The 13,440-nt window shown below is 50.0% G+C and overlaps 4 annotated features.

The window, feature by feature from the left end:
- Window positions 10,723–10,772: an enhancer, noted in NCBI's record as "active region_704". NCBI's record gives its function as "activates an Ori minimal core promoter by ATAC-STARR-seq in GM12878 lymphoblastoid cells {active_cell/tissue: GM12878}" and the evidence as "EXISTENCE:reporter gene assay evidence [ECO:0000049][PMID:35858748]".
- Window positions 10,783–11,202: an enhancer, noted in NCBI's record as "active region_703". NCBI's record gives its function as "activates an Ori minimal core promoter by ATAC-STARR-seq in GM12878 lymphoblastoid cells {active_cell/tissue: GM12878}" and the evidence as "EXISTENCE:reporter gene assay evidence [ECO:0000049][PMID:35858748]".
- Window positions 10,783–11,476: a biological region, named in NCBI's record as "NANOG-H3K4me1 hESC enhancer GRCh37_chr1:33457814-33458330".
- Window positions 10,960–11,476: an enhancer, noted in NCBI's record as "NANOG-H3K4me1 hESC enhancer chr1:33457814-33458330 (GRCh37/hg19 assembly coordinates)". NCBI's record gives its function as "activates a minimal SCP1, AML or CMV promoter by ChIP-STARR-seq in naive H9 embryonic stem cells {active_cell/tissue: H9 hESC(naive)}" and the evidence as "EXISTENCE:reporter gene assay evidence [ECO:0000049][PMID:30033119]".

Genomic DNA, 13,440 nt, shown 5'->3' with positions numbered 1-13,440 from the left:
TTTATGCCCATCGCTGAATTAGTTGCTGTGGCCAGGAGCATGGAATATGCCTCTTGGCCAGGCTTGGGTCCACTGACCAGGCCTTTAGATGGCTTCCCAAAGAAAAGTCAGGGTTCTGCTATCCAAAGGAGGTAAGATGGATACTGAGGAAGTTAAATACAACATCAGAGCCATCCCCTAAACACAGGCATTTTAATCTCTAATTCCTTTTGCCATACTATATGTCATGCTTGGGCTCCCTGATGAGAATAGTACCACATTAATGCTATTCATCATTAAATCCTAGCATCCAGCACAGTGCTTGTATGTAGCAGGGACCTAGTCAACATACAAGTGAATAAATACATTTCTTGGTGACCTAAACAAAATCATTTAACTAGATGTTTAAATCAGAATGCTTTGAGTTGTAAATAACAGAAAACTGGCTCAATAAAGGACATTTGTTGACTCATGCAACTGAAAAGTCTAGTGGAGCCCAGCAGTCAGGCATGGTGTGGTCAGGACTTCACTTATGTGCCAGTCTCTGACTGCCCCCTTGGTATCATCAGGCTTGTCTCTCTCATGGTAGCAAAATGACTGCAGCAGTTCCAGACGTGACATCTGTACTCCGCAACATCCAGAACAAGAGAAAATACAGAGACCCTGTATCACAGAATTCCCAGCAAAAGTCCTGAGAGTCACTGTGAACTGAATAAGATTACATGCCCACCTCTGAATCAGCAATTAGTGGCAAGGGTTGTTTACTGGCTTAGCCTAGATCATGTACCTCACCCTTAGAACTGGGGAGATAGGGGAGGGAGAGAGTAGAATCAGCTTCCCTGAAACTACATGGATTCCTGATGGGAACTGAGACTTTGGGGAAGGGGAAAGCAGTCCGGATCCTGAGGATGTAACCAATAGGAATCCAGCTCAATTGAATACCCTGAATTGTGTGGCATAAACAAGGGCTGCAGGAGTTAGAGGGCAATGAGTGAAGGTTGCATCAGTCAGAGCAGGGAGGCTTCATGGAGGAGAATGAGAGACTGGAGCCAAACCCTGAAGAGATAAAAGATTTGGGCAATGGGGTAGGGAGGTGGAAAGGAAGGAACATTGCCCATGTGCTGTGCCAGACATCATACTAAACCCTCTGTATGCCGGGCGTGGTGGCTCACGCCTGTAATCCCAACACTTTGGGAGGCTGAGACAGGTGGATCACCTGAGGTCAGGAGTTCGAGACAAGATTGGCCAACATGGAGAAACCCCGTCTCTACAAAAATACAAAAATTAGTCAGGCATGGTGGTGCACTCCTTTAGTCCCAGCTACTCAGGAGACTGAGGTGGGGGCATTGCCTGAACCCGGGAGGCAGAGGTTGCGGTGAGCCGAGATTGTGCCTCTGCACTGCAGCCTGGGTGATAAAGCAAAACTCCATCTCAAAAAAAAAAAAAAAATTCTCTGTATGCATTATCTCAGTTAACCCTTACAATGACCTGCAAGTTTGGTATCATCATTATCCCCATTTTACAGTTGAGAAACTGAAACCCAGGGGTCACACAGTAAGTGTTGAGGTTGAGACTTGGACCCAGCTTGTCTGGCTGAGAAGCTTGTGCCTGGAGCTATGACGCTGGTGAGTAAAGTAGACAGTGGTCACCTGGGAAGTTTGCATTAGTGTGAAGTAAGTGGCCTGACCTCAGGTCATCACAGAGGTAGTGCAGAATGTGAAGTTCTTCCCTCAGCTGTGCTGTTTTTGGGGCAGCGGGGATCAGAACCAAAGCACAATTCCTTTGAAAGTTTGCCAAACTTTGACCTTAACCATGTGAAACCTTGTGCCTTTCCTGCTCACCAGATGGATTCTTCAGACAAGGCCTAGGTGCTGGTTCTGCTCCTTACTAGGTGGCCTTGAATGTATCATTCACAGTCTTTGAGCCTCAGTTTCCCTATTTGCAAAATAGACACAGTAATACCACATTTATTGATTGAACAGATTTACTCTTGCCTTATCTTTGCTGGGCCTGGGAGACCAAGAAACAAAGATGAATGAGACAGTGCCTGCCCCCAAGGACCTCCCAGTCTAGCAGAGGAGATGGATATAAAATCAGAGAGACTTATGGAGAGCAGTGGAAAACATAGATCAGGGAGCGATCAACTTAGCTTAAGTGGATCTGGGAAGGCCTCAAAGTAGGGGACATCTGAGCCACACCTTGAATGGTTAGTAAGAGTTTGCCAGGCAGCCACTTGGGGCAGAGTTTTGTGAGAATCAGATAAGCTGTGTCAAAGTAAATGTTTTATAAATTGGGCTGCCTTTCCCTTCTAGGTTCATACCTCAGCTTGCATTGCTGCTGTAGGAAACATAAGAAATGCCCTAGAAACCCCTCCCTGGGCTGAGAGTTCCTAGAATTAGGGGCCGGGGAAGAGTTTTGAATGCATGCTAAAGTCTAGGCTCATCATCTTGCCACACAAGGCCTGTTTGGCTTCATCTTTCTCTTAATTTTATGCTCACGCAAAACAACCACCTAGAGTTCCATGAAATCATTACCTCCCTGTTTCTCCTCCTATGTCTTCTTCTTCTCCACACCCACCTGGCAACCTCTAATTTGTTTCCTGGAAATGTGATTGACCCACACTCCACTCACGCAGCCTCAGCACCCTTTTATTTGTAAATACATGGACTCATCTTCTCCAGGGGACTGGGGCTCCTTCAAAGACAAAGAGTAGGTCTCAATCTCTACCCTGCCACACCTAGCACCAACTGATCAGAGCTGCATCTCTGATGCAGGGATAGGTAGTTGGGAGTCTCACTTCTTCCACAAACATTGAGCTTCTGCCACAGGCCTGCTGGCGTCAAGTCAGGCAAAAAGGATTCAGGAAGCAAAGGGTACAATCCAACCCTGGAAGCAGTCACAGTCCAGAGAGAAACTCACATGTAAACAGTCCATTGTAATACTGGGTGATGTGTGCTGGGATGAAAGGATATCTGGAACATGAAGGGGACACAGGAGAGATCAACTACTTTGGGCACACGGGAAATTGAGCAGGAATCTGCTGGGTGGTGAAAGACAGACACTAGAGCTTGTACGAGGCATGGAAGCATGAAAAAGCACAGCAGGTTCCAGGGTCAGTGAGTATGCGTATGGCTGAAGGAACATGGGAAGAATGGAAGCAGGCTGGAAGAAGCAGCTAGGGAAGCAGGCAGAGGACAAGGAAGAGCAGACCTTACTCTCATGTGAAGGGTTTGGACACATTTTAGAGCCAGTTATTGAAGCTTTTCAAGCAGGGAAGGGATGATGTGGTCAGTTTTGTTTTAATGTGGAGCAGGAGAGAGAGGCCAGGTCGGAGGCCAGGGGTGTTCTGTTAGCCCAAGGCTTTTGGCCACTTAATAGTATTAACAACAGTTAACACTTAGTCTGATTACTCTCTGTAGGCCCCATTCTCATTACCTTATACATTTATTTTATTTTATTTTTTTGAGATAGAGCCTCACTGTTGCCCAGGCTGGAGTGCAGTGGCGTGATCTCCACTCACTGCAACCTGCGCCTCCTGAGTTCAAGCGATTCTCATGCCTCAGCCTCCCGTGTAGCTGAGACTACAGGCGCACACCACCATGCCCAGCTAATTTTTTTTTTTTTTTTTTTTTTTTTTGAGACGGAGTCTCGCTCTGTCGCCCAGGCTGGAGTGCAGTGGCGGGATCTCGGCTCACTGCAAGCTCCGCCTCCCGGGTTCACGCCATTCTCCTGCCTCAGCCTCCCAAGTAGCTGGGACTACAGGCGCCCGCCACTACGCCCGGCTAATTTTTTGTATTTTTAGTAGAGACGGGGTTTCACCGTTTTAGCCGGGATGGTCTCGATCTCCTGACCTCGTGATCCGCCCGCCTCGGCCTCCCAAAGTGCTGGGATTACAGGCGTGAGCCACCGCGCCCGGCCTAATTTTTATATTTTTAGTAAAGATGGGGTTTTGCCATGTTGGCCAGGCTGGTCTCGAACTCCTGGCCTCAAGCAGTCTGCCAAAGTGCTGGGATTACAGGCATGAGCCACCGCGCCGGGCCACCTTATGCATTTTAAATGATTTAATTCTCCTAGGGCCCTATGAGACAGATACTATTATTCTCATTTTAAGGTTCAAAAACTGAGGCATAAAAAAATTAAATAAGTTGCATAACTTGGTAAATGGCGGGCCTGACTGCACTCTGGCTGGCACACTTCAGGGCCTGTGCTTTTAGTTACTGTGCTGGGTAGGATCTCATCGTCGTCACAGTAATAATGATACGCTAATGAACATTTGTTGAACTCATATTCCATACTGTGCTTTGCTCTGTGGGCTTCAGATTATTACCTCAGGTTTAACCAGGTTCTAATCAAGTTGGCAAGAAGGACACTGTCCACCTGGGGGACCAGCCTCAGAGCCCACAGTCCAATAGAGACACTGCTCCAGGTCTTGCTGTGTCTGAGGGAAGTGGCCTGGCCACCTTCCCAAATTGCTGAAGGCCTGACCTTTGGCAGGGGCAGCCAGAGCCTCGTGCTGCCTTTGGCTGAGAGCCGGGCCAGAGGGGCTGAGCCAGAGTGGAGTGATCAGCTGCATGGGCTGGGCCCCTGGGGTCTCCAGACACCCTGGCTCAATGCCTGGACACTGTTCAAAGCTGCTACAGCTAGAGCTGGGGACCAAGCACCAGGACCCCTGAGTTCCAGGCCCAACTCGGTGGCTGATGTGCTGCGGGAGCTTGGGCAAATCCCTACCCCTCCATTGGCCTCAGTTTCCTGGAAGGCAGTTGAATAAGATTGCTCCTGTCCGTGACCTTCCTCCATAATATCATCTGTGACAGGCTGGACATTTGGGATACCACAAAGTAGTCCCTCCTGCATGGAACCCAGGCCCCAGGTTATTTAGGATCTCTCCTTGGTACCAAGCGCTGCTGGGCACTGGGGCCACAGAGAGGAGCTGAGCTGATCCCTGCCTTCAAATAGCTCCCAGTTGGTTGTCAGGGGGTGATGGGGGTGGAGGGGGGGTGTGGAGCGAGACAGACAGGAAAACCAGCCATCAACCTAGTGTGATAAGTGCTGCACTGCATAGAGAGAAGGAAGTACTGCACTGCATAGCGAGAAGGATGCCCAAGGAGCTGCAGGGCTCCATGGAGAGAGCAACTGACTGCCTGCAGTGTCCTGGATGGCTTCCCTATAGGAAGGACGTGGAGCTACTACATCTTCCAGGTAGAGAAGGGGATGTGCATTCCTATTGAGGGAACAACCTCCACAGTGGTCGGGAGACAGAAAAGACCAGGTGTTGAGAAAAGGGTGAGCTCCATGTGGCAGATGGTGGGAAGGAATGTGAGTGCAAGGAGATGGGGCTACAGGGCAGGTGGGAGGCAGCAGGGACTGGACTGAGTGCCAAGTTCCTGAGCCACAGCTCAAGTCTCCAAGGCTACAAGGAGCAGAGCCCGCATACAGGCTTCACAGGCACTGGAGAGGGCCTCGAGCCTCTGGAGTCCCAGCTTGGTAACGCTCTTCCTCCTGCTGCTTGCATTTCTTCCTGTGTCTCATACTTCCTTCCCTTCCCTGGAGGCCAAAGGCCACCCTGTGCCTTCCTGTTCAGGGCACTCTGCCCCCTTTCAACCTCCGGTAAAGTTCTTCACAGGGTAGCCCATGCATTCCAAATGCCTCATACTTGTGGGTCTCATCGTCTACCTTCTGGGTTTCTCCAGCAGCCTAGTGAGGCAGCCAAGACTGAAAGAACTTGTAGGTGATACAGAAACAGGGAGCACCTATGGGCCAGGCCCCATGTTGGCCTCTGGAGAACAGGCCAGACAAAATTCTTGCTGGGAGCCCTCAGTCTGGCTGGGAAGACAGATGCTAAAGATGTGATCATACCAATCAGCTGACCTCCCTGCACAGACAGGGAAGGCATCCCTGAGTTGCAGTTTGAACATGAGGTTCTAGAGAACCAGCTTCCTGAAGCAGCACAGGAAGAGTGTTACCAAGTACGAGATGACTTGTTTCAGGTCATCTGGCCAGTAAGGGAGGTCTGGAGCCAAAACTCTGATCTGTCTGACTCAAGGCCCACTAATTTGCAGTTCCCTCCCACTGGTATTTTTCTCCCATTATTCAAATGTCAACAGCAAAGAATTTTCATATCTTTAATATTGCTGGATCCTCTGTGAGATAGGGCCCACTCTCCCTATTCAGAGGCATACAGACCTGGGAAGTCTAAGTGATTCATCCGTGATCACAACAAGGTCAGAACTAGGATGAGAACACACATCTCTGGGCTCCAGGATAACCTGGTGAGATCATGGAGGAAAATTGTTGCTGTCTTTCCCAGCTTTGCCCTGAGCCAGGCTACCCCTGAATGACAGACACACGTTCCCAGTTGTTTCCCAGGGACTTTCCTGGGAAACAACTTCCTGGAGGAATACCATAGTGACCTGAGAGATATGTTTGACTTGGGAGCAACCCTGTTCTGAGCCTGAGGGTCCCCAGAGCTCAGAGCAGACATTCAGAGCAAATTATGGTATTTCTGCCCTTGAGATTGCAAACAGAACTGCTTTTGGATGAAATGGAGCATGAGCCCCATGCTGGGCAAGCAGTGCAGGCCCCTGTAATCTCTCTAAGGGATGTGAGTGCCACCATCAGAGACTTGTAAGCTATAGGAAGCTCCAAGCTCTTGAACACTGTGCCCTCAAGCCCTGAAGTGGGAGGGGTTATCTTTGGGCCCTAAGAAGGCCTTGATCCCATTCAAGAGCTTTCGTGGTACTGGGAGGGCCTCTAGGCCCTTAAGGAAAAGACTTGGGTTCTGGTGATGAGTTTTTAGAGTACCTGGGGGAGGGGGTTCTAACAATAACAGATCACTTGTCAGCAAGCTGGGAGCAGTTGAAGTGTTTGAATACATTTAGGGGCATGTATTTGCCATGTCTATAGTTTCTTCAGTCCCTTTCATTCCCAGAGCACCCACACTTGGATTATCTTATACATTCCACTTTGACCCTCAGAGCTACCTTTTATGGAGCTAAAAACGATTCAAGAGATGGAAGATTGAGAATTGAAAATTGCAGGCTGGGCACGGTGGCTCACGCTTGTAATCTCAGCACTTTGAGAGGCCAAGGCGGGAGGATTGCTTGAGCCCAAGAGATCAAGACCAGCCTGGGCAGCATAGTGGGACCTTATCTCTACAAAAAAGTAAAAAATCAGCCAGGTATGGTGGCATATGCCTGTAATCCTAGCTACTTGAGAGGCTGAGGTGGGAGGATTGCTTGAGCCCCGGAGGTCAAGGTTGCAGTGAGCTGAGACTGTGCCACTGCACTCCAGCCTGGGTGACAGAGCAAGACCCCGTCTCAAAAAAAATAAAAAAGAAGAAGGCCGGGTGCGGTAGCTCACACCTGTAATCCCAGCACTTTGGGAGGCCAAGGTGGGTGGATCACTTGAGGTCAAAAGTTCGAGACCAGCCTGGCCAACATGGTGACATGCCATCTCTACTAAAAATACAAAAATTAGCCAAGTGTGGGGGTGCATGCCTGTAATCCCAGCTTCTTGAGAGGCTAAGGCAGGAGAATCACTTGAACCTGGGAGGCAGAGGTTGCAGTGAGCCAAGATCGCACCACTGCACTCCAGCCTGGGTGACAGAGCAAGACCCTATCTCAAAAAAAAAAGAGGAGGAGGAGGAAGAAATGAAGAGTAGAAGGAAGAAGAAAGGAGGAAGGGAGGGAGGGAGGAAGGGAAGAAGAAAGAGGAGGAAGAGAGAAGAAAAGGAAAAGAAGAAATGAGTGCTGCCTAAGGCCCCACAGAGGTATACATCTGAAATCAGATCCAGCTCTTTCCTACCTACCCTAGACCTGACCCTTTCCTGTGGCCTCCATCTGCCCTTGCACCCTCTGCCAACCTGCAGGCCCCAACCTCCCTAACTCCTGCTGAGCTGGAAACCTTAGATACCAAAGAACCAACCCCCACTCCCCATTGGACATCTCCTTTCTGAAAAAGCCCTGGCCAGGAAGGTGGGACGAACTGGGGGCTTTAATCTTGGCTCTGTCTCCTTCCCTGAGTTGTGATGAGTTTAAGTGAGATCAAGGATCTTAAAAGTGCTCCAGAAACTGAAAAATGTTGAAAGAACACGAGGAAGGGGAAACTACCACTCTGTTGTTTTATATGGAGATGAGTGATTTGGAGCCAGGCCTTCCAAAGGGTCACAGTTTGGAGGGAGGAGACATACAGACCCCAAGCCCCAATGTGTCATGGATAATGCAATAGCCAAAGGATGTGCCAGGCATTGTGAGGGCACAGACAACTCCTAGGGGAGTCAGGGAAAGCCTTGAGAAGAGCACACATTGGAAATGGGTCTTGAGGACGTGTAAGTTTACCAGGTAGACTAAAGAGAATATGCATATTTCAAGGGAGGGAACAGCTTGTACAAAGGCATGGAGGCTGGAAAGGGAATGGTGTCCAGTGAGAGTGTCCAGTCAGGGATGGATGAAATGAGTTTTGGCAAGGTGGGCCAGGACAGAGCAGAGCATGTCCTTGAAATACTTGCAAAAGGCCAGGCACAGTGGCTCACGCCTGTAATCCCAGCACTTTGGGAGGCCGAGGCGGGTGGATCACGAGGTCAGGAGATTGAGACCATCCTGTGAATGGTGAAACCCCGTCTCTACTAAAAATACAAAAAATTAGCTGGGCATGGTGGCGGGTGCCTGTTGTCCCAGCTACTCGGGAGGCTGAGGTGGGAGAATAGCCTGAACCCGGGAGGCGGAGCTTGCAGTGAGCCGAGATTGCACCACTGCACTCCAGCCTGGGCGACAGAGCGAGACTCTGTCTCAAAAAAAAAAAAAAAAAAGAAAAGAAATACTTGCAAAGAAGATTTAGAGTTCATTTCGGTAAATAATGGGAATTCTTTTTTTTTTTTTTTTTTTTTTTTTGTAAAGACAATGTCTTGCTCTGTTGCCCAGACTGAAGTGCAGTGACCCGATCTCGGCTCACTGCAACCTCTGCCTCCCAGGTTCAAGCAATTCTCCTGCCTCAGCCTCCTGAGTAGCTGGGATTACATGCAGGTGCCAGCACACCCAGCTAATTTTTGTATTTTTAGTAGAGACGGGGTTTCACCTTGTTGGTCAGGCTGGTCTTGAACTCCTGACCTTGTGATCCGCCCACCTTGGCCTCCCAAAGGGCTGGGATTACAGGCGTGAGCCACGGCACCCAGCCAATAATGGGAATTCTAAAGCAGGAAAGTGGTCCTTGTGCTAGGAATTATTATTTCCATTTTTTACAGATTTCAAAACAGACTCAGAAGAAGCAGCAAATTGCCCAAGGCCTCTGTACCAGTCAGGGAAACAGAGCCAATAGGATCTATATATATCACGCTAGGCCAGCAAGTCCCAAGATCTGCAGAGTGAGTCGGCAAGCTGGAGACCCAGGAGAGTGGTTTAGTTCCAGTCCAAGTCCAAAGTTATCTGGGTATCCCATGGTGCAGTCGGACTGACACCATCAAATTGTAAAATGGCTAAAACTAACCATCACAGCTCACAGCTAAAATGTGGCAGAGCTGGGGCTCAAACCCTGTTCTATCTGACTAGAAAACCCTTTGCTGCAGAAGCCACTGGGCAGAGACCCAGGCCTCTTCTCTCGTAGCCTGGACACCAGGGCTGTGCCAGCTAGAGAGAAGCAGCCAGTCACCAGCCAGGTTAGGCTATGGGCCTGTCAGATAACCCAGCAGGGTCTGAGGAAGGAGCTAACCGGAGGCCTCTGTTTTAGGTGGAACTCCACAAAAGGCTTTACACCTTCTTGGGAGGACAGGTGAGGGCAAGGAGATTGGGGCTTCAAAGGAGCTGCCCTGCAGAAGCCCTTTTCACTTTTCCTGTTCAAAACACCTTAGTGCTCATCACCCCATTTGAGCTCAGCAACTCTGAGAATGGGGAGGGGGAAAATACCCATTGGACAGATGGAGAAACCAAGATGCGGAGAGGTGAAGATGAACTGACTTGCCCAAGGTCACAGCTGAGAAGCAGAATCACAGGGCCCAGGACCCTGGAAGCTCACCTGCCTCCTGTTTTACAGAGAAGGAAGGAGAGGCCTAAAGAGGAATGTCCCAGCCAGGCACAGTGGCTCATGCCTGTAATCCCAGCACTTTGGGAGGTTGAGGTGGGCAGATCGCTTGAGTCCAGGAGTTCAAGACCAGTCTGGGCAATAGGGCGAAACTCCATCTCTACAAAAACAAAAATTAGCTGGACGTGGTGGCGCATGCGTGTGGTCCCAGCTACTCAGGAGGCACAGGTTGGAGGCTCGCTTGAGCCCAGGAGATGGAGGCTGTAGTGAGCCATGATCATGCCACTGTACTCCAGCCTGGATGACAGAGCGAGACCTTGTCTCAAACAAATAACAACCACAAAAAAAGAAATGTCCCCATTCCGCTGATGAGGAAGTGGAAACACAGAAGGTTGGGTCTCCTTCAAGCTGCTCAGTGAAAAGTGACGAAGCCCTCAACTGTCCTGGGCGTTTTCTTCATTCCTCCACAGCACTTGGCCTTTCCACTGTCCAACAGTCCAAACTTTACAAAATACTTGGCATGGCCACAGTATCTTGGGTTCAAGGTCATGCCACGGCCAAACCAGATACAACTTCACTCTCACCCAGTACCGAGGTCCAAAGAGGGGAAAGGACATCCCATGTCACCAGCAAATCAGGAGCTAACTCCAAAGGCTATTTTCCTGGCCCATCCCTTGGAGTGGCGGAATAGAGGCTTGGCTGGCAGGACCAGCCTCCAGATGACCCTAGTAATTGCTTGGGGGGAGGGAGGTTCTGAGGCCCAGAAATGGCAAGTGGTCTGAGGTTTCATGTTAAAACCTGTTTCTGCTCTAGCCCAGCAGTCGGTGAACACCAGGTACTTTCTGATGGTGAATGAGGTTGGTGCAGGGCTGCATTATCTGCTCCACATCCCACCATGAGAACATACCAGGAGTGGGGGCTTTCCACCCAGATCCCCAAGAAGTTGCTCCATCATTCTGTCTCACCACAACCATTTCCTTCTCTAAAAACTCCCTTCCCTGCAAGCCCTGAGACCAGCCAGGCTCTCACCACAGAGTATATGCAGACTTGCTTCTTCAGCTGTGGCCACACCAGGCTCAGGAATGTCCCAGGAGGCCCTCCCATCTCTGTTGCTGCCACAAGCTGAGGGCGTGTCAGGGGCTGGCCTCAGGAAAGGTTGGGCCTGAAGCTACTGCCTCTCTGAGTAAGAGTAATGCTCCTAACCCCTGCAAAGCAGTTTACACCCAACAGCTCACTTAATCCTCACAGCTATCCTGTGGGGATGGAAATAGTCATTATCAATGGCCATTTTACAGGAAAGGAAACTGAAGAGAGGGAAGTAACTTAGGGTAACACAGCTTTTCAGCCTGACTCTGAGCTCTCTGCTTCTCTTAAGGGGCTGCTTAGTGGACTCAAAAGAGGTATCGAGTATCAGGTTTTGGTTTTTGTTCTGCTATCAGAAAATTTTTTGAAGATTGCCTGGGAGAGAGGTAGGACTTCTAATGATGCCAAAGCAGGAAGAGTCCCCCAGGATGGTGAAACTGAGGCAGGGGGGAGGAGACATGTCTTAGCTAGGGTTGCACAGCAGGTGAACTGGCTGGCGCTGGACCCGGCGGCAGGAAGTACCCGCTAAGCTTGGACCTGGATTCATTGGCCAGCCAGCCAGGCTGCCGCCCCTTATCCCTAAGGCCTCTGTTTCTCTGCTATGTAGGCCAGGCCCTCCTGTAGGTCACGCCTCAGTCATCAGTGATGGGGTGACAGAAACTGTGGGAGCCAGAGTGCAGCTGCAGTAGGAAACCAGCTTGGTTGCATCAGTACTCGGGTTCTAGCCCCACCAAGTTAGGCAAGGGCACCCCCCTACCTGGGCTACAAATCTCCCACCACTCCAGCCCCACCGTGTCCCCCTCCCTTTACCCCTGACCCGTGATGGCTCTGCCCCTAGCGACACTCTCGCTATGAGGGGCAGAGCCTCTCATCCCAGCCTGTGCCAGGCAGGAGCCCTGCTCCCATACGTGGCAGGGCCCACCTTGGGAGGTGGAGGATTCTCTCCCTAGGAGAAAGAGGATTCTGCTGGTGGATGACACCTGCTACTACTGACTCATTCATGCATTCAGTCTCTTCTAAGTTTGTTCATTCCATCAACACATTCTTTTTGTTTGTTTTTTGAGATGGAGTCTGGGAGGTGGAGGATTCTATCCCTAGGGGAAAGAGGATTCCGCTGGTGGATACCTGCTATTACTGACTCATTCATGCATTCGTCCATTCATGCATTCAATCTCTTCTAAGTTTATTCATTCCATCAACATGTTATTTTTGTTTGTTTGTTTTTTGAGATGCAGTCTCACTCTGTTGCCCAGGCTGGAGTGCAGTGGCATGATCTCGGCTCACTGCAGCCTCCACCTCCTGGGTTCAAGCAATTCTCCTGCCTCAGCCTCCCGAGTAGCTGGGATTACTGACACGCACCACCATGCCCAGCTAATTAATTTTTTTTTTTTTTTGTATTTTTAGTAGAGACAGGGTTTCGCTATGTTGGCCAGGCTGGTCTCAAATACCTGACCTCAGGTGATCCACCCACTTCAGCCTCCTAAAGTGCTGGGATTACAGGCATGAGTCACAACACCCGGCCTCCATCACAAATTCTTATCCAACCCCTTCTAACCTGACAGCCACACTGGGTCATGCCTTCTGCTGGACCCTGGGGACACAGAAAAGAATAAAGTGGACATGGCCCTGCCCTGGAGGAGCTTATAGGGTAGAGGGGCACTGTGTCGTGTCTGATGCTATAACACAAAGATAGACATGGGACAGCAGCAAGACAGAGAGGGAATGTGATGTGTGAGAGCAGCAAGGTGGGGAAAGATACAAAGGGGGACAGCATCTGCCTTGGAGGAAGAAGGGAGCAGTAGTTGGCCAGATGAAGAGTTAACGGTAACAAGCCCAATACAAACTCCGAAGGCATTTACTGTGTGCCAGAAGCTTTATTCTCATTAATTTCTTTTTTTTTTTTTTTTTTTTGAGACGGAATCTCACTCTGTTGTCCAGGCTGGAATGCAGTGGCACAATCTCCGCTCATTGCAAGCTCCGCCTCCCAGGTTCACGCCGTTCTCCTGCCTCAGCCTCCCGAGTAGCTGGGACTATAGGCGCCCACCACCACGCCCGGCTAATTTTTTTGTATTTTTAATAGAGATGGGGTTTCACTGTGTTAGCCAGGATGGTCTCAATCTCCTGACCTCATGATCTGCCCACCTTGGCCTCCCAGAGTGCTGGGATTACAGACGTGAGCCACCACGCCTGGCCTTTTTTTTTTTTTTTTTTTTGAGATGAACTCTCACTCTGTCACCCAGGCTAGAGTGCAGTGGCACGACCTCCACTCAATGCATCCTCTGCCTCCCAAGTTCAAGTGATTCTCCTGCCTCAGCCTCCCGAGTAGCTGGGATTACAGGCATGCGCCACCACTCCCAGCTAATTTTT

This window comes from Homo sapiens, chromosome 1 (genome assembly GCF_000001405.40).
Source record: "Homo sapiens chromosome 1, GRCh38.p14 Primary Assembly".
NCBI lineage: Eukaryota > Metazoa > Chordata > Mammalia > Primates > Hominidae > Homo > Homo sapiens.
Note: the sequence above shows the minus strand (reverse complement) of the source record. Positions and strands in the feature narration are given on the sequence as shown.